Below are 18,273 nucleotides of genomic sequence, written 5' to 3'. Positions count from 1 at the left end.
CCCAGTCCCTTACCAAACAAAGGGTGGCAACAATGGTTAAGAAAGGTCAGAACTAATAGTAATTCTCCCTGCTTATACAGCTGCAGCCACTGCATGACCCTAGGACCCAGATCCCCCACAGGCTTTGAGAAGATGACCCCAAGTCAAGCCGAGCGCATATGAGAGCAGTGGAGAAAGAGCTCTGTTTCTGTCTTCAAGAGGGCATACTGCATATTTCCCAGAGACAAAAGGGAGCATCGAACCCAATGCCAGTTTGCTAACAGAGCCTTCCATATGCAAGCACCAGAGTTCTATGCTTCACCAGGTTGGTCATTTCTGGAATGGGAACATTGAATTGCAAGATGTTGTTGATTATGACCAGGAGTCTGATTCATATGCTAATCAGTGAAAACAGTAACAAATACTCCAAATTGATGTACCATACAATTTATCATGGCTTTGGGATGTATTTTGGCACACAGTGTACTACAGTGATTCTAAGATGAACATTTTAATTTTAAAGTCTTTGCAGTCATTGATGGCATGTTGTAATTTAATGGCACATAAAACAATGGTGCATTTTTAATCAATGACAGATTCGATGAAATATGGTTCATGTAGATTTTAATGTAACTGACAGCCTGGAAATTCAAATCATTTTGAACCAAATAAAGTATGCATGAACATCGATAATTATTGCCATCATCACTCAACTTAGAAGACCTAAGCTACCAGGGTGCTGAAAATACCTCTTTCTCCCTCTGTGCTGTATCTCAGCGGTTTGCAAACTTGGCTGCACGCTGGAATAACCTGGGGAGTTGAAAAAATACTGATGCCAGAGCTGTGTCCCCAGAATTTCTGATTTAGTGGTGCTGCAGTGCAGCCTGGGCAGTGGGATATTTAAGAAGTTCCCCAGGTGATTTGGATGCACTTTAAAGTTTGAGAAGCATTACTTGTTTCTTAGGAAGGCATCACTTTGCAACTGCTCTGGCCAGATACCTGGGAATCGTGTCAGAATCCTCCTTCTCCACATGGCTCTTGAGTTCCTCCCTTCCTTTTTATCTCCTCTGTTGTCCCCTGGTTTACAGCCCCATATTTCTGCTCCAGATCTCTCTGTCTTACCTCCTTATCTCTCTGCTGCCTTCTGGGGTCTTATTTTTTCAATCTGTAGTCACACTGCTGCCAGATGGATTTCTCAGCTCTTAACCTAATTAGGCCCCAATTTAGGCTCCCTTGGCTAAAACCAACCTTCTCTGAAGAGTACATAAATGTCTTCCTGGCATGGCTACTGCCCACTTCCCAACCCTATATGCTGCTCTTCTCCACAAACATCCACTGTTCCTGGGGACATGAATGGCTCCAGTTCCCAGAACCACCCCTCTGTTTTGTCCCTTTATGTCTTGGTACCTAGTGTTCGCTCTGCCTCCATCTCTCCTCACTCGGCAGATTCATCCTTAACTTTCCAGAGAAGACTTGTGGCCCTTCTCTCAACTGTCTCTGTCCTAGTATGAAGATCCATCCCATCTTCTCACCTCCTTGGCAGTAACACACCTATCCATGACATCACTGAGCAGGGCCAACCATAGCTCTAATGACGCTGTGCATTCCTTGGGCGGGACATCTCTGGCACTTAGAACAGGGCCTGGTTCTGTGTTTTGCTTTATGTAAGCGAGTGACTGCTTTTGTGACTGCAGGGTGCACAAAATTTGTGCTCAGAAAATGCCTTTGTTTAAAATACTCCAAGAAAGGGGGGCTAGATAAAACAAGACTGGCAACATTTGATAATTATTGAAGATGGGTGCTGGAGACACAGGGATCCATTATGCTATTCGTTCTACGTTTGCTTGACATTTTTCCTAATAAAACGTAAAAGAAAAGAAAACGCCTTTGCTTGAAAGGCTAATTTGAATAATAAGAGAAATGGAGGTTCTGTTCCCCTCTGTATCTGACAGGTGACTTCAGTCTTTTTTGGGCTCTGCGGGGAGACTTTAGCACAGTCAATTTGACTGTGGGAATTTTTATATAACAAGAGCCCCTGACAAATGGGTGAAGTTTGCAATGTACAACCACACTTGGTCCTACCTTCTTTATTTCCCTTTTTGTCATGTTTCTTCAACCATTCAATATTTTTTCTGATGGCTTCCAAATAGGCTTCTGTTTTTCCTGGAAGAGGTAAGAGAACTATATCAAACACTCAGGAAATATCACTACATCTCATTTTAAAGACCACACGTATGTTCAGAACCACAAATATTAGACTTATGCAGCATTTGCAAGGTTGTTTCCCTAACTAGGTAATGTACATATTTGTATGTGTCTATGTGTGTTTGTGTGTTGAGGGGTTTAGGTCAAGGAGAGCAGGTGCGGATGAGGTTCCAGGAGGAAGAATCAAGTTGGTAAGTGTCAAGGGGCATGATTCCCACACACAAATAAATCCACCTTGATGTCCTGGCAGAGAAGAGTTTTGATTCAGTTTACTAGATAGATGGGTCCTTAGATTAGTTCATTTCTGGTTAGGGATGGTTCTTCCAAACTGAGGAGCATCATCAAGCCAAGGACTTGAATGAGAGTGGCAGATACTTAAAGATTCCATCACTTCAGTTAAAAGTCCAAATGTGTGGCTTTGTGTAAGCAGCTCTAAGTCTTCTGCCCAATTCTGGCAGGGGGCGGGCAAAAACTTAGACAAAGAGGCGACCAGTGCCTCACTTCAAGGTTTGGATGGCAAACCTTAGAACTGGCTCTAATAAAACTCCCCAGGATGTAAACACTGTTCGATGGGCCTCAAGTGTGGCATGAGAATACCAGGCATCACTCATGCACCTACTCTGTGATGCCCTTTACCTGTACTGATGTCTGCAAGCGGATATTACCATCCACTGAGAGATGAGGAATCTGGGGCTCAGAGAGGCGAAGTGAGTAGGCTAAGGCTACACAGGAAATAACAGCTGGCATTTGGACTCTGATCTGCTTAGCTTCCGCTACCTGCATTCCCTGCAGGATAAGACCTCACCTTCAGACATGGACAGTAATGTTGCTTTGTTCTATATCAAAAAAATCAGCCACTCTCTTAACCAGGTGAGGCCCTAAAGCTTAGGGAGTCAGCACCAAGAAACCAGGTGCTCTAGAAAGTACCAGATGGCTTACAAAAAGAGGCTTTCAAAGTCCAGGGCCTCTGCAGAAGCAATAGCTGCAGAGCTCAGTGTGGTGACCACCCCATTCTGAGCCCCATCTGAGCCCTCTTACCTCTACTCTACTGCACAGCCCTCTTGGTTGAGCTACCTGTACTGTGTGCTTATCATGTACTGGGGACTGCTTTATGCTCCAAAATGCATTGTCTCATTTATTCTTCACGACAACTTTTTGAGGCAGTCTTATTATCATCCCCATTTTACAGATGAAGACACTGAAGCACAGAGACATAAAGTCATAATCACATGACTAACAAGTAGCAGAGCCAGGCTTGAACCTGGGTACCTCCAACTACAGTCCATGTACAATAACACTGCCCTAAGAGTTGCCCATGTTCCAATTGCCCGCACTGTATTTACCTAAGTGACTCTCTGAGCATCTTTCTTCCTGATCTTGAAGCCCACTCTTGCCTTACCACCGAAGATCTGTGTCATCTGGTCCCCAAAGAAGCACAGAGACTACTACACAAAAAGGGGTAAATGGACACCAGAAGAGATCCACAATTTTTAGTCCTTATTTACTTCAATAGTTGGTGTAGAAACTTCCTTGATTTCAGCAGTCTGGGAGGCCAAAGAGGGAGGATTGTTTGAGGCCAGGAGTTCAAGACCAGCCTGCACAACATTGTGAGACCCTATCTCTACTAATAAACAGATACATAAATAATAATTTTAAAAATACAGTGTTTTCTATTTCAAATTAATTCAGTTAGATAAGGTATTTTGAACAAAGAGAGAAATCTTAGTGCAGACCATTTCTAAACAATGCAACTTCATTATTTTAAAGAGTTTAAATCAAATTACTGATCCCCATAGGGCTCACTTTAATGAATAATGATTTGTCATTCACTCATTAGGTAGTTAGGGCTTTTGCAACTTTTGAGTATGTCTGAAAATAGTCTTGTTCTTTACATAATATTAAGCATTTTTTCTACTATCTTCTCTGATATCGTATCATGATGTTAGAGCTTTTTTGGGATAAGGAAAACCACAGCTTAGTCTGTTTAGACACTGCATTAAAAATTCCAAATTAGGAGAGTAAAAACAAATGAAGTTTTCGCCATCGTGGGGCAAACATTACCCACTCTCATGCCTCCCTCTTCATAGCTAGCTACTAGAGCAGCCTTCAACTGATGACGGATGAAATGGGTAGATCAATGCATCAGCTTCCTTGTTCCTTAGGCATGTTCTACTGTTTCCCAGAAGTCTTCAATAGGATTGAGCTCTAGTCGCCCATGCTGAAGCTTGCTCATTATCACACCTTATATTGGCTTTTTTCTCTTCCTGCTCATGTACCTACCCTGCAGTGGTGCTTCCTGGGGTCACTTCCCAATGAAGCTACTTCACCTCAAATCCTTCTCTTAGTGCATGCCTTGGAGGGAACTCAACATAAGACAATTTGAAATAAAGGCCTTGACCAGGCTCTGTGGCTCACACCTGTGATCCCAGCACTTTGGGAGGCCAGGGTGGGCAGATCGCTTGAACCTAAGAGTTTGAGACTAGCCTGGGCAACATGGAAAAACCCCATGTCTACCAAAAAAAAAAAAAAAAAAAAAAATTAGCCAGGCATGGTGGTGTGCATCTGTAGTCCCAGCTATTAGGAGGCTGAGGTGGGAGGACTGCTTGAGCCCAGGAGGTGGAGGTTGCAGTGAGCCAAGATTGCACCACTGCACTCCAGCTTGGACAACACAGCCAGATTCTGTCTCAAAAGAAAAATAAAGTAGAGGTCTCAGCATTATTGTATTAGGCTGCTTTTTGTTCAGGAACCAATTACCTATAAAAATGGTATGGAATTTTAAAAAGTATGTAATGTATGAAAAGCTATTTTATTCACTATATCAACATTATCAACTCATAACAGAGAATGAGTTTACTATAGCTTAAAGAAAATTGGACTGCAATTCATTGAGAGACTAGTATCTTATGGGTTATAACATACATGATTAGGACAGTCTCCCTAATTTATAACAGAACACCCCGTCATTCTCCTCCTCTTTCATGCTTTATTTTTATCCATCAGAAGGTGACTACTTATTACCTTCTACTGTAGCATATAATTTGTTAAGTTTATTGTCTTCCTCCCTTAGAAATATGTTGTTTGCTGATGTACCCTCTGCCTAGAACAAGACTGACAGAGAGTAAGCTCTCAAGAAATATTTGTCAATGAGTAAATGGATGAAATCTTTCTGTACAGAAGCCAAATTGCAATTAGAAGATTGCCCAGTCAGCATGGAATCCAAACTAGGAAACTACATCTTAAAAAAACTTACAAGCCGGCCGGGCGCGGTGGCTCATGCCTGTAATCCCAGCACTTTGGGAGGCCGAGGCGGGCGGATCACAAGGTCAGGAGATCCAGACCATCCTGGCTAACATGGTGAAACCCCGTCTCTACTAAAAATACAAAAAAAAAAAAAAAAAAAAAATTAGCCGGGCGTGTTGGTGGGCACCTGTAGTCCCAGCTACTCGGGAGGCTGAGTCAGGAGAATAGCATGAACCCGGGAGGCGGAGCTTGCAGTGAGCAGAGATCACGCCACTGCACTCCAGCCTGGGCGACAGAGCGAGACTCTGTCTCAAAAAAAAAAAAAAAAAAAAAAAAAAAAAAAAAAAAATATATATATATATATATATATATATATATATATATATATGGCATAGATTTATCTCTGCCTTTTTTTTTAGTGAAAATGAATGATTTATTTGAGAGACTTGAAATTTAATGGATTCTAAACCTAAATGATAGCTATATCAGAAACTATTTTTTCAGAAACAATTTAAAACACAAATGTGATAGATATACTACATCCATATGTCATTTATTCTTCATAGAATTCTATTAATTAAATATCATTATTCCCATTTTATTCATGAAGAAACTAAGGCTCAGAGAGGTTAAATGACATGCCCAAGGCGACATAGCTAAGTAAGGGTCTGATATGGTTGGGCTGTGTCCCCACCCAAGTCTCATCTTGAATTGTCATTCCCATAATCCCCATGTGTCATGGGAGGGACCCAGTAGGAGGTAATTGAATCAGGGGGGCGGTTACCCCCATGCTGCTGTTCTTGTGATAGTGAGTGAGTTCTCACAAGATCAGATGGTTACGTAAGGGGCTTTTCCCCATTTGCTCAGCACTTCTCCTTCCTACCATCATGTGAAGGAGGACTTGTTTGTTTCCCCTTCCGCCATGATTATAAGTTTCCTGAGGCCTCCTCAGCCCTGTGGAATTGTGAGTCAATTAAACTGTTTTCCTTTATAAATTACCCAGTCTCGGGTATGTATTTATTAGCAGCGTGAGAGAGAACTAATACAGGGTCAGAGCCTGGTTTTGAACCAAAATAAATATGGAGCCTTTAATGACTGGGGCTGGGTCAAATTCACCTTTTAGACTAGAGAAATTGAGTGCCTGCTCTTGTTGGTAAACTGGCTGACAAGGCAGTGGTTTTCTTTTTTTTTTTAGATGGAGTCTCGTTCTGTCACCCAGGCTGGAGTGCAGTGGTGCAGTCTCGGCTCACCGCAAACTCCGCCTCCCGGATTTACGCCATTCTCCTGCCTCAAGCCTCCGGAGTAGCTGGGACTACTGGCACCCGCCACTTTGTCCAGCTAATTTTTTTTGTATTTTTTAGTAGCGACGGGGTTTCACCATGTTAGCCAGGATGGTCTCGATCTCCTGACCTCGTGATCTGCCCTCCTCGGCCACCCAAAGTGCTGGGATGACAGGCGTGAGCCTCCGCGCCCGGCAAGGCAGTTGTTTTCAAACTTTGATGCACATTAAAATCACTTAGCGAAAACTTTTAAAGGCCCAATGTCCAAATTGCTCCTCAGACCAATTAAATCAGAATCTGGGACTGGGGACCAAACATTTGTACTTTTTAATGATCTTGAGGTGGCTCCAATGTGCAGCAAAGTTTGGGAACCGCTGCCACCAGTTTTAAGACCTCCACACGCTTACAAGAGCATTGGCAACAATGGGAATCACATCAGGTGCTCTTCTGCTCTTGGAGCAAAGCAGCTGGCTCATATTGACTTTTCTCTTTGCAGGAGCTGTAAAGCAAATCTTTTATTTACGCAGTGTGCACTGAAAGCCTTATGAGAGTCGACTTTGGAAAGCTGGACTATTTTCTCCCTCAATTTATTTCAGCTTCCTTTGGAAAAAAAAAATAGCTCATGGCTGAGGTAATAGAGCACAAGCCTTAAAACATAGGCTGAAGCAGATGGGAGGAGGGCCAGAGTCGAGATGCAGCCTTGCTTTTCTGGCTGTTCTGGTTTTTACACTGTGAGAAAAATATCTTTTCTAAACATGAATTTGTCCTTCCTCTACTATGCTGTCCTGACTCTCTCCCTCTGGGGAAAGTGTATAAATCAATAGGGTTGTCCTATTGCATACTGGATATACTAAAGACATTAGGTTTTGTAAAAGAGTGTTTATAAAAACTAAGTTTGATATAATACTTAAAATTATGTCAAGATTACATGATTGCACTTTTGAACTGGATGAAGCAAAGCAACTGATACTGACGCATGGGTGCTGACACAGGCCACGGAGCTGTGAGATTCAAGATTCTGCATAATGATGACATTTTACATGCCCATTAGATGCAGCATGGAAGACTGGAAGAGCACTGGATGAAGAGTCAGAAAACATGGGTTCAAGGCCAGCTCCACCACTTTGGCCATGAGATCTTGAGCAAGTTGCTCATCTTCTGGGCCTTGTTTTACTGATTTGTAAATCAAGGGGTGAATTCTAAAAAGGAGATTCATGATTTGTACATAAGAAAGAAATTCCCCTTTTCTGTCCTTGAAAAATCCATGTTGATATATAGCTCTCCCAAGCCTACTTGGGTCTTCCTGACCCACTTGCTGACTCCCAGGGGAGAATATTGGACTCATTGTTTTTGGACATTTCTAGCAGAATCTCTGGAGGCTTGAAGGCAGGCGTGAATTCTCTTATGTTGCTTAAAAAATAAGTGTATCCACAGGAATTAGGCAATTTATTATCAACTTATTAAATAGGCTAACTTTTCTGGCTCCTGTAAAAAAGATATGAGGATGATAGGATATTTAAGTGAAAGTTATCTTAGAGATCACCTTTTCCAGCCTAATTTTATTATCCAGCCGTAAACTTAAATGATAGCACTGGAATGAGTTTATGGGTGTTAGAATGCTTATTTCATCCCTTGGATGATTAAAAAAAAAGACTTTCAGTGACTCACAGAACAGATGTGAATGAGTAAACATCCAAATGGCAAAAAGAACCACACTTAGATAATGAAATAAAGTTTGAAAGTAGTTTTCAGAGAGCAATTTACTTGAAAAGTTAAGCAACTTTATAGATTTGGTTGAAGTTAGAATAAATTATAATTTATTAGCATATCCATAAACTTAGGAATAATTATTGAATCAGTCAAACAACTAGACCAACATTTAAAAATATTATACTTAATGTGGGTCCCTGTGGAAACCATAGTTTAAATAGTTCAAACTATTTTCAAAGGTGAATGTATCATTTTTCATCATTGGTAATGAAGTTGGCTGTTTTTTACATTAAGCTTGAAATGAGATTCATAGAAACGTGCTTTGTAAACTGAAGCATGATATAAATATAGAGTATTATTATTATTACTATTATTATTATTACTTATATTCCTCACAGGACCCAGTTCATGCTACGCATGGTTAATAAACAGTTGCTGTGGTTAGATAGGGCTATCACCTCACACACCGCAAGGCCAAAACAGACTCCCCACAGATATTCCTGCCAATGTGTTCTGCTTATAATTATTTCCTTAAGTGGTTTTAGCTGGACCATTACCTCATCCCTTATTCTACTCTGTAACATCCTCCAGCTTTCCGTCCTGAAGGGATCCTGTTCTATCTATGTCTGGCTCATCAACAAGCGGGATATGTGTGCATGTATGTGGCCTGTGTTGCACTTGCCAGCATATGAGTTAAGGACTATTCTTGGGCCATTTCAAAGCTTGCTTGAGTCCTCAAACGCAGGAATTGGTTCTTATATTCCTTCTGTAGCTGCTTCCTAAGCACAGCGCTAGGCATGCCATTGGAATAAGTGTTTATTTCTTGCTGAATAACTGTCCCGGAAAACCCAGTCAACCCTGCCTCCACTCACATGGATGCTTTTCTTTTTCTACCTAGAGACAATGGGTGTTTTCTCACTGGGTTTTATAACAGGGAAGCAAAATAGCCCTTGAGAAAAGTGCAATGAAACAACTGCGAACACAAAGATATATGTCGGTATGTCCTTTTGGGGATTAATACATTTTTTTTTCCTAGAAATTGCTGGTCCTTGGCTTACACTTAGCTGGTGTTTTCTAAACTGTTTTAGAGTCAGTTGTCCTTATCCCAGAGTAATGGGTTCAGTGGTAACATTAATAAATTACATCTCTGAACAATAGCAGAGGGACTAATTTTAACCCCAAATTCCTGCCTTCTTTTTAATGTTTTAGGAGAGCCATTGCAAAGAATAACACTAGGCTGGGCGTGGTGGCTCACACCTACAATCCCAGTACTTTGGTAGGCTGGATGGATTGGGTGGATCACCTGATGTCGGGAGTTTGAGACCAGCCTGGCCAACATGGTGAAACCCCATGTCTACTAAAAATACAAAAATTAGCTGGGTGTGGTGGCACATGCCTGTAATCCCAGCTACTTGGGAGGCTGAGGCAGGAGAATTGCTTGAACCTGGACAGCGAGGGTTGCAGTGAGCAGATATCACACCATTGCACTCCCACCTGGGAGATAGATAGAGACTCTGTCTCGGGAAAAAAAAAAAAAAGAATAACACTAAATGGATAAAGTTTTAGTCTACTCTCTTCCTCTCTCCCCATTACTATCTGATGGAAATCCTAATGAAGAGGGAAATCCACTCTTATCATTGGTCTCCAAACACTCACATCCTAAATAGGCAATAGTGGACTACAGAGAATCATCTCTTTTATATTCATTTTTTACATGGTTTTCTTAAAAATAAACCAAACAGAAATGTCAGCACCCATTCCTACAGCCCTGTGCACAGCGATAGAAGGTGGTGTTTAAAGCACTGAGCATGTTACCCCAGCAAGTCAAAGGATGTAGCCTATGGCTCACTGGGTTCTAGGGAAATACGATTGCTATACATGGGTCACTTCCAGAGGGGATGATTGAGGCACACTGGGTTTCTGTTGAGGTGAGCTGTAATGCTCTATGCTGCCCAATTCGTGGTTCTCTGTCTCAGATCATAGTCCACTCTTGTCCTGGTTAGCTATTTTTAAAAATTTACCATTCATCCTCCACCTCACATCTGTTAGGATAAAAAAAAATCCAGAAATAAAAAGTCTAGGCAAGGATGTAGAGAAACTGGAACTCTTGCACACGATTGGTAGAAATTTAAAATGGTGCAGCTGCTACAGAAAACAGTATGGTGGTTCCTCAAAAAATTAAAAATAGAATTAGCATATGATCCAGCAATTCCACTTCTGGATATATACCCAAAAGAACTGAAAGAAGGAGCTCAAAGAGAGATGTATATATATATATATATATATATATATATATGTATTACTCACAACAGCCAAAAGGTAGAAGCAACCCAAGCGTCCATAGACAAATAAATAGATAAAATGTGGCTTATACATACAATGGAGTATTTCTTCAGCCTTAAAAAAGGAAGAAAATTCTGACACTTGCTACAACATGGATGAACATTGAGGACATGATGCTAAGTTACGTAAGCTGGTCACAGAAGGAAAAATGCTATATGATTCCACTTATATGAGGTCACTATAGAAGTCAAATCCATAGAGACAGAAAATAGAATGGTTATTGCCGTGGAGTGGGGACAGCAAGAATGGAAAAGTGTTGTTTAATTGGTACAGAGTTTCAGTTTTGCAAGATGAAAAGAGCTCTGGAGGTGGATGGTGGTGACGGTACAGAAACAATGTGAATGTACTTAGGGCCTCAAAACTGTACAGTTAAAAACAGTTAAGATGGTAAATTTTAGGTTATGTACATTTTACCACAATTTCAAAAAAGAGCTATTTTATATATATATATATATATATATATATATATATATGTATGTATGTATGTATACACACATATATATATATATTTTAAAAAGAGTTTACCACCCATCCAGAGTGACCTAGGGTTGAATGGAAGTGTCAAAGCAGCCTGATTGGTCTACAGGGTCCCCAAACATGGCACACATATCACCAGTTCTGCCTACTCTTGCTCAGGACAAACATTATTAATTGATCATTACTGCTTTCTTTCTTCCTGAACCCAGATGCAATATCATAAACTTTCACAACATGGGCCACTACCAAACAATTGGAGTTGACACATCAGCTATGTCAATGTAGGAAAAAATGTAGGAAAATGTACAATGTAGGAAATGTAAAATGTAGGAAAATATAAAATGTAGGAAAAAATTGTGATGGTCTATGAAATCCATGCTAGAGAAAAGGAGGGCACAAAAATATAAAAATGTATAAGATAGGAAAAATCAACAGAAACTTGATACATTAAGGAAAAATTATATTTTTCAGCCCTGTCTCAAAAAAGTCCCAATAGCTGAAATAGAAGCAGCATCTTTTGCCACTATCACCACTCATTTGAACTTATATAACCCAGGTTTGGGTGTCTAATTCTACAAGTCTTTTCTACAAAAAAGGAACCAGAACTCCTTGAAGGAGAATTGACTTCAAGTCTTGGGAAAGGAAAATTCAGAGTGGGTATAGAATATCCCGTTGTTGCTAGAAAGCAATGATGATGTACTAAAAAGACTAAAGAGAAATTTAGGGAGCTCCCACTGCCCAAGCTACACCAATTTAGGCATAAAGTCATCATCATCACCAACAACGACAACTGAAATAACTTACACAAATGGAAAAAGTGTTAGCAAAGGTAATAGTAATATAAAAAGGAAATAGTTTGTAATTTTATTGGTATTCTTGAGTTTCAAGGTATTAAATACGTAGCTAGTTTGTTTCTCTTCTACTTCATACACAGACAGTAAGCATGCGTCTATTAAGTGTGAATAGGAACCTGCTTCTATTTGTGTGAGCAGGAGATACTGGGTGGGGAACCTTTAAGTGGGCCAATTTCTTCAAAATTAAGAGCTATACCATGGGCAAAATTGGTCCTTGTGATCTCATATCACATCATAACAAGGAACAAGAAAAAGTCTACCTATTCATTGCCACTGATGGTTATACATAACCAATGAAAATCTCTTTTCAGAGAGTCCAATGGTGTGTTTTCAGATGATAAATTGGCTGGGTTCCTCCACCACCCCCCACCCAAGAGAGCACTGACCCACTCTCTCAGCTCTTAAAGAATAAACTCTGCAGATGAATCTACTAATGAGACATTAATCTTGCTGTGTCACCCAGGCTGAAGTACAGTGGTGCAGCCTCCACCTCCTGAGCTCAAGTGATAAGACATAAATAAGGTTCCAATTATATCAAAGATGCCAATATATCATAATGACAGAAAAATAAGGTAGGTTCAAACCGTTTGTTCACAACTTCTGGTAAAGACATTGAGTTTCAGAAAAATAATATCTATCTGAGACATAGAGATGTAAATTTCCATGATGTAACTAGCACAACTTTGTAATAAGGGGACTTGAACCACTGAACTGTACAACTAGATCCCACATTCGGACCTGAAATCAAAGGGATAACAATTTAGAACTTATAACCTCATTGAGTCTTTTTCTTTGGGGGTATGGTAAAGTTTCTAAAATCCTAGGAAGATGGCCGAGCACGGTGGCTCACACCTGTAAACCCAGCACTTTGGGAGGCCTAGGCGGGGGGATCACTTGAGGTCAGGAGTTCAAAACCAGCCTGGCCAACTTGATGAAACCCCATCTCTATGAAAAATACAAAAAATTAGAGGGCAGGGTGGCGCGTGCCTGTAGTCCCAGCTACTTGGGAGGCTGAGGCAGAAGAATCACTTGAACCCAGGAGGTGGAGGTTGCAGTGAGCTGAGATCGTGCCACTGTACTCTAGCCTGGGCAACAGAGGGAGACTCCACTGCAAAAAATAAAATAAAATAAAATCCTAAAAAGATGTAAATTGTGTTATATATTGCATAGATATATTTATGCTATTTAAGGAAATTTGATATATTGAATTTGTCATTTTTATCAAGTCCTTAAAAGTGTTAAAAGTTACAATCACTGGTTAAATCATTTTAAAATTTTGCTTTGTTAAATTCAAATTTTTTTTATTATACTTTAAGTTCTAGGGTACATGTGCACAATGTGCAGGTTTGTTACATATGTATACATGTGCCATGCTGGTGTGCTGCACCCATTAACTCATCATTTACATGAGGTATATCTCCTAATCTAATCCTCCCCCATCCCCCGACCCCACGACAGGCCCCGGTGTGTGATGTTCCCCTTCCTGTGTCCAAGTGTTTTCATTGCCCTTGCTGTGTCACCTAGGCTGGAGTATAGTGGGGCAGCCTCCACGTCCTGAACTCAAGAGATCCTCCCACCTCAGCCTCCTGAGCAGCTAAAACTATAGGCATGTGCCACCATGCCTGGCTAATTTTTGCATTTTTTGTAGAAATGAGGTTTTTCCATGTTGCCCAGGCTGGTCTCAAACCCTCAGCTCAAGCAATCCAAACTGCTGGGACTGCAGGCATGAGCCACTGCGCCTGACCAAATAATAAATTTTGATGATCTTGTTGAATAAGCAGTATGTGATTATTTAGAGGAATATTCAATAAGTTTAAAAAATATTGCTCAATAAATTCATAAGATTATAAATTATATGTTAAACAATGCACTAATGGTCATACATATTCCTCTCCAAACACAAAAGTCCATTGAACACTAAAGACTATCAAAAGATGAAATCAGTTTGCCATCCCAGGAGACTCAAGACCATTAAAAAAGATTGCTATTCAAATAAAGATACCACATGCCAAGCCTGTTCTATACAGATTGTGTCAATTTCTCAGATGTGATGGAGCTTGCTCTTTGGATCACCCTCCCTTGTGTGGTGAAAGCTTTTGCTTTCCCAATTTCATTGCTAACCTAGAGCTGTCAATCCCATACCTTTGGGTTCATCTGTCTTTCCTCCTGGGTTGGAGTTATCATCTTTTGTGGAATCCTTCAAGCTTCCATATTCCTTTTCCATCTTAGCTGCTTCTTCCTTGGTACTGTCTGTTTCTTCATGACTCTTCTCTGATGGTGCTGTAATCAGATTGAGCATTGTTGTCATAGCCCTGTTTCCTATCTATTAATTGGTTCCTAAAGTAGAAATCAACTTTATTGACAAGGTACAGTTTGAGCTCAGATCATATTTTGAGTTGAAAGGGATCTTAGTGCTTATCTAATCCAACCCTTTAACCCCATATCACAGAAGAGGAAATTGAGGCCCAGAAAGGGGAGAGATATGTCTAAAGTCATCCCATGAGTTGACTTTAGATATATCCCCCCCACCCCACCCCACCCCAGCTTTCTGAATTCTGATTTGGTATTTTTTCCATTCTGCCACACCTTGCCATTAGAGGGCATATTCTTTGTCTTACTTTAATCAGTGTAGGTGATCAAGCCAGGATATGTCATGTTCTGAAGTACATTTGGTGGGTCTTGATTCCAAATGATAATAACTCTATAGCTGCCCAATCTCTCCTTGACATTGCATTTTTGAAAGACAGTCTATTACTCAATCACACCTAAGGATCTGGGGCTATGGCAGGACTTCTCTCCTTCTGCTCCTTTCTTCACACTCCTTTACCCCTAGGAACCCTAAATTCGAAGAAGAGACTTGAACTCTTGCTATCAAAAGAGAGAAACTCTTGCTCCCTTCTCACTTTAAAATAACCATATTTCCATGTAGTAATCCTTTGTTGAATTAAAAATCATAAACCTTAAAGTAGGTAACCATTTGAAAACAATTGTAATACATTTCTGTAGCCAATAAAATATTTGGAACCTCAAGCAGTCTAACAGTAAACTTTTAAAATAAAGTGTTTTTTTATTGTAGAAAAATAGGAAGAAAAGAAAGAAATCAGTTAGTGTCTGATATAAAACATTCGCTAGTGTGATGCGGTATGTAGAGAGATGCATTTTTTTTCACAGTTGTGGTACAATTTTGTTCTTCGCTTGTGTCATTACATTATTATGGAAGGATGTTTCCAGGTAATTAAAAACTGCTTGAAAACATATTTTAAAGGGCTGTATACTATGCCATCAAGAATATGTATATAATTTCTGTGATAGTGACAAAGAGTCAAAGTATAACAATTTGCAATTTTTGGTTGTCATTAATAGCTAAACAAATTTAAAAAAGAATCTGCCATTTGCAAACTTTTCTCTTTTTGTTCCACCCTCCTCCTTGAAAGGAGGCTCCTTTCCATAGCTCAGTTCCCTGGGGTTTGATGGGCTGAGTAGGGTGATAGGTGGAGGTATGGAACTGACGAAACCAAGAGCGGGGGTAAAGCACACTACCTAGGGGCACAGACCATCCCAGGGGAGAGAGAAAACCTGGGAGGGGAGAGCGGGAGGCGGGCAGTGGGGAGTGAACAGATGACCAGGGACAGTAGTCTGGAGAAGTGATTATCTAGGGAGAGAAGATACCTAAAGGAGAATTTTAGGATGGATTGCTCAGTTTTGTGATGTAGCCTTTTCCTTTCCACCTAAGATTCCTAGCCACCTCCAGGAATCTTCAGTAAAGACCTACATTATTTTTCAATGTTTTTTGAGGTCAGATTTATGTGCTGTGATTGGCCACAAAATAGCCAAGGTCACATCTAATTAATCCTATGGCTGCGTTTCAGATTTTAACACTTTTCAAAATCTGTAATTTTTAAATTAATGTTTATTAAAGTTCATTATTTACCACTCAAAAGGGTTATTATTCTAAAGGCTAAAAAAATAGTTAAATAATCATACCTGGGAAAAGCTTGCTTATATTGTCAGTAGCATTTTTTTCTAGCTTGTTTTTGGTCTGAAGAGCAATCATTTCATCCAAGTTTTCTGGAGGGAGGAAGGAAAGAAATTTAATTTTATTCCCTGAGAGATGACATCAAATTTTTACGAAAAATGTTTAAATCTCACCAGAAATATCACAATAGCAACTCCAAAATATTAACACTCCTGGTAAGATGTTTTGACCTGGATTTTATTTCTAAGAATCATAGACTCTCAGGATGGAAAGACATATAGTTTGAGATCCTCAAGTTCAGCCTCCTACTCAGCTAATTGCAGAAGTCGCTTCTGCATCTCTGTGGCCACTGCTAGAACACTTCCAGGATTGGGAATTACAGTGGATACTTGGGGTTTGACCTATTCAACACCTTGTGGTAACTGCACCTTGATTTTTCCCTAGGGAACCTAACCCTGGCTCACTCTCAGAACATTTGACTCCACTGGTGGTAGAATAACTCAAGAATGACTAAACAGGGTCTTCCATGACCTGGGCTATAATTCAAGGAGGAGCCTAGGACCTATCCAGGTCAGTGAGACTCAATGGTAGGACCACTGGTAGAAAGAGGCTCTCTTTCCACTGGGATTGATGTGCTGTGAGGAGGTGAAATTGGGACTGTCCCAGCTATCTTGTTCCCACAGGGAGCAGTCTGTCTGGAATAAATCAAGACACAAAAAGTCAGAGCTGTGAGATGGGATGAGGTCAATTCCTCACACTGTTGGTGGAATTCGCAAACCCAAAGCCAGACTATCCCATCCCTCCATGGACTTCTCCAGTTATACGTGGCAATAAATTCCTTTCTTGCTTAAGCCAAACAGTTTGATTTCTGTCTTTCAGGGCTTTCACTAATTCATAAGGAAGCCAGTCCTACTGTTAGGTAGTCTTAGGGGTCATTTCCCTACTTATATTAAGGAGCATTTCCCTACTTAAATTAAGCTGCACTCTGTATCCTTGTCTTTGTCCTAATTCTACTCTTTGGAGTAGCATCATATTAAGTGTTACTAGACAGGAGTCTAGACTGTGACTTCCTCAAGGTAGACGATGAATTAGAAACCACACTCTTTGTACTCAGCTATTAAACCAGCCACATAGCTATCTCACTACACTATTTTAGGACGAGCCTTTTCTGCCATTCTCAAAAAAGCATGTCTTTGCAGTTAGTTTGTAAGGATCTTATTATTACTTTGTATATTTTCTCCCCAAGTAAACTCCTCTTGCCCTACCTCTATTTTAAGAAGATAATTAATATATTCTAATGTGTAATGCATTGCTTTCTTTTTGGAAATAGTGGCCATACCTGGCAACATTTGTAATCATGGTACACTGTTGAGGCCAGAATAGAAAGGCAGATCACTGCTTGTCACTAGCTCAGATGGGAGGAGAGGAGGCTGGTCAATCGTCTTCTACCCATGCTGCCCTGAGCCCCTTGGGATCTAAGGGTGGCTCTCCATGGCAGCAGAAGTCAAAAGCCAATGTGCTTATACAGAAAAATTCTTAAAGACATAACTCAAACTCTAGTTGTAAAAGTTACATATACACACATAATACATATATGTATATAAACATGTACATATACATTAATATGTATGTAAGTCTTGATAAACAATATTTACATTGCATATGTAAGGAGCAGATATAATTATTTAAAAACACAAACACTTAGAATAAAATTTAAATAGTCTATCATAAAAATAAATAAATAATTTACTTTAGTCTCCTCTTGTGGAGTATCTAGCCTATTTTCACTGCTTTGCTCCTACAAGCCAATGTTGTCCAACAGAACTTTCTGCAATGATGAGTGTATTCATTTCTGCACTGTTCATATGGTAGCTACTAGCTACATGTGGCAACTGGGCACTTGAAATGTGCCTAGTGCAACTGAGAAACTAGATTTTAAATTCTGCTTAAGTTACTCTTAATTTAAATACGAACTTGTGGTTAGTGGTTACCATATTGCGCAGCACTGCTATAAGTGATAGTGGGAATATCTGCCTTGCACATAAGCCTTTGAGGCATTTTTGATTTATTTCCATAGGATAATTGACTAAGTGTGGAATTTCTGACTCACAGGGTGTTGATATGAAAGTTATTGATATGAAAACAGTGTCTTTGGTCTACTGTGAAAACAATAAAGTAGACCCCAAAGCACTATGTGTAATATGAGCTT

At 40.1% G+C, this 18,273-nt stretch overlaps 1 protein-coding gene across 2 annotated transcripts in view; it reads right to left on the bottom strand.

Annotated features, from left to right (window-relative positions):
• Positions 1-18,273, bottom strand: part of SCG3 (secretogranin III) — a 39,524-nt gene that overhangs the window by 5,552 nt on the left and 15,699 nt on the right. For both annotated transcript variants that reach the window (NM_013243.4, NM_001165257.2), the window contains 3 exons: positions 16,073-16,156; positions 14,231-14,368; positions 2,062-2,142 (listed from right to left, as the gene is read on the bottom strand). In NM_013243.4, coding sequence (NP_037375.2) covers positions 2,062-2,142; positions 14,231-14,368; positions 16,073-16,156 — 303 coding nt within the window. The remainder of the gene's footprint in view (positions 1-2,061; positions 2,143-14,230; positions 14,369-16,072; positions 16,157-18,273) is intronic.

Source organism: Homo sapiens, chromosome 15, assembly GCF_000001405.40.
Source record: "Homo sapiens chromosome 15, GRCh38.p14 Primary Assembly".
NCBI classification, from domain to species: Eukaryota; Metazoa; Chordata; class Mammalia; order Primates; family Hominidae; genus Homo; species Homo sapiens.
This window is presented reverse-complemented; position numbering and strand designations above follow the sequence as displayed.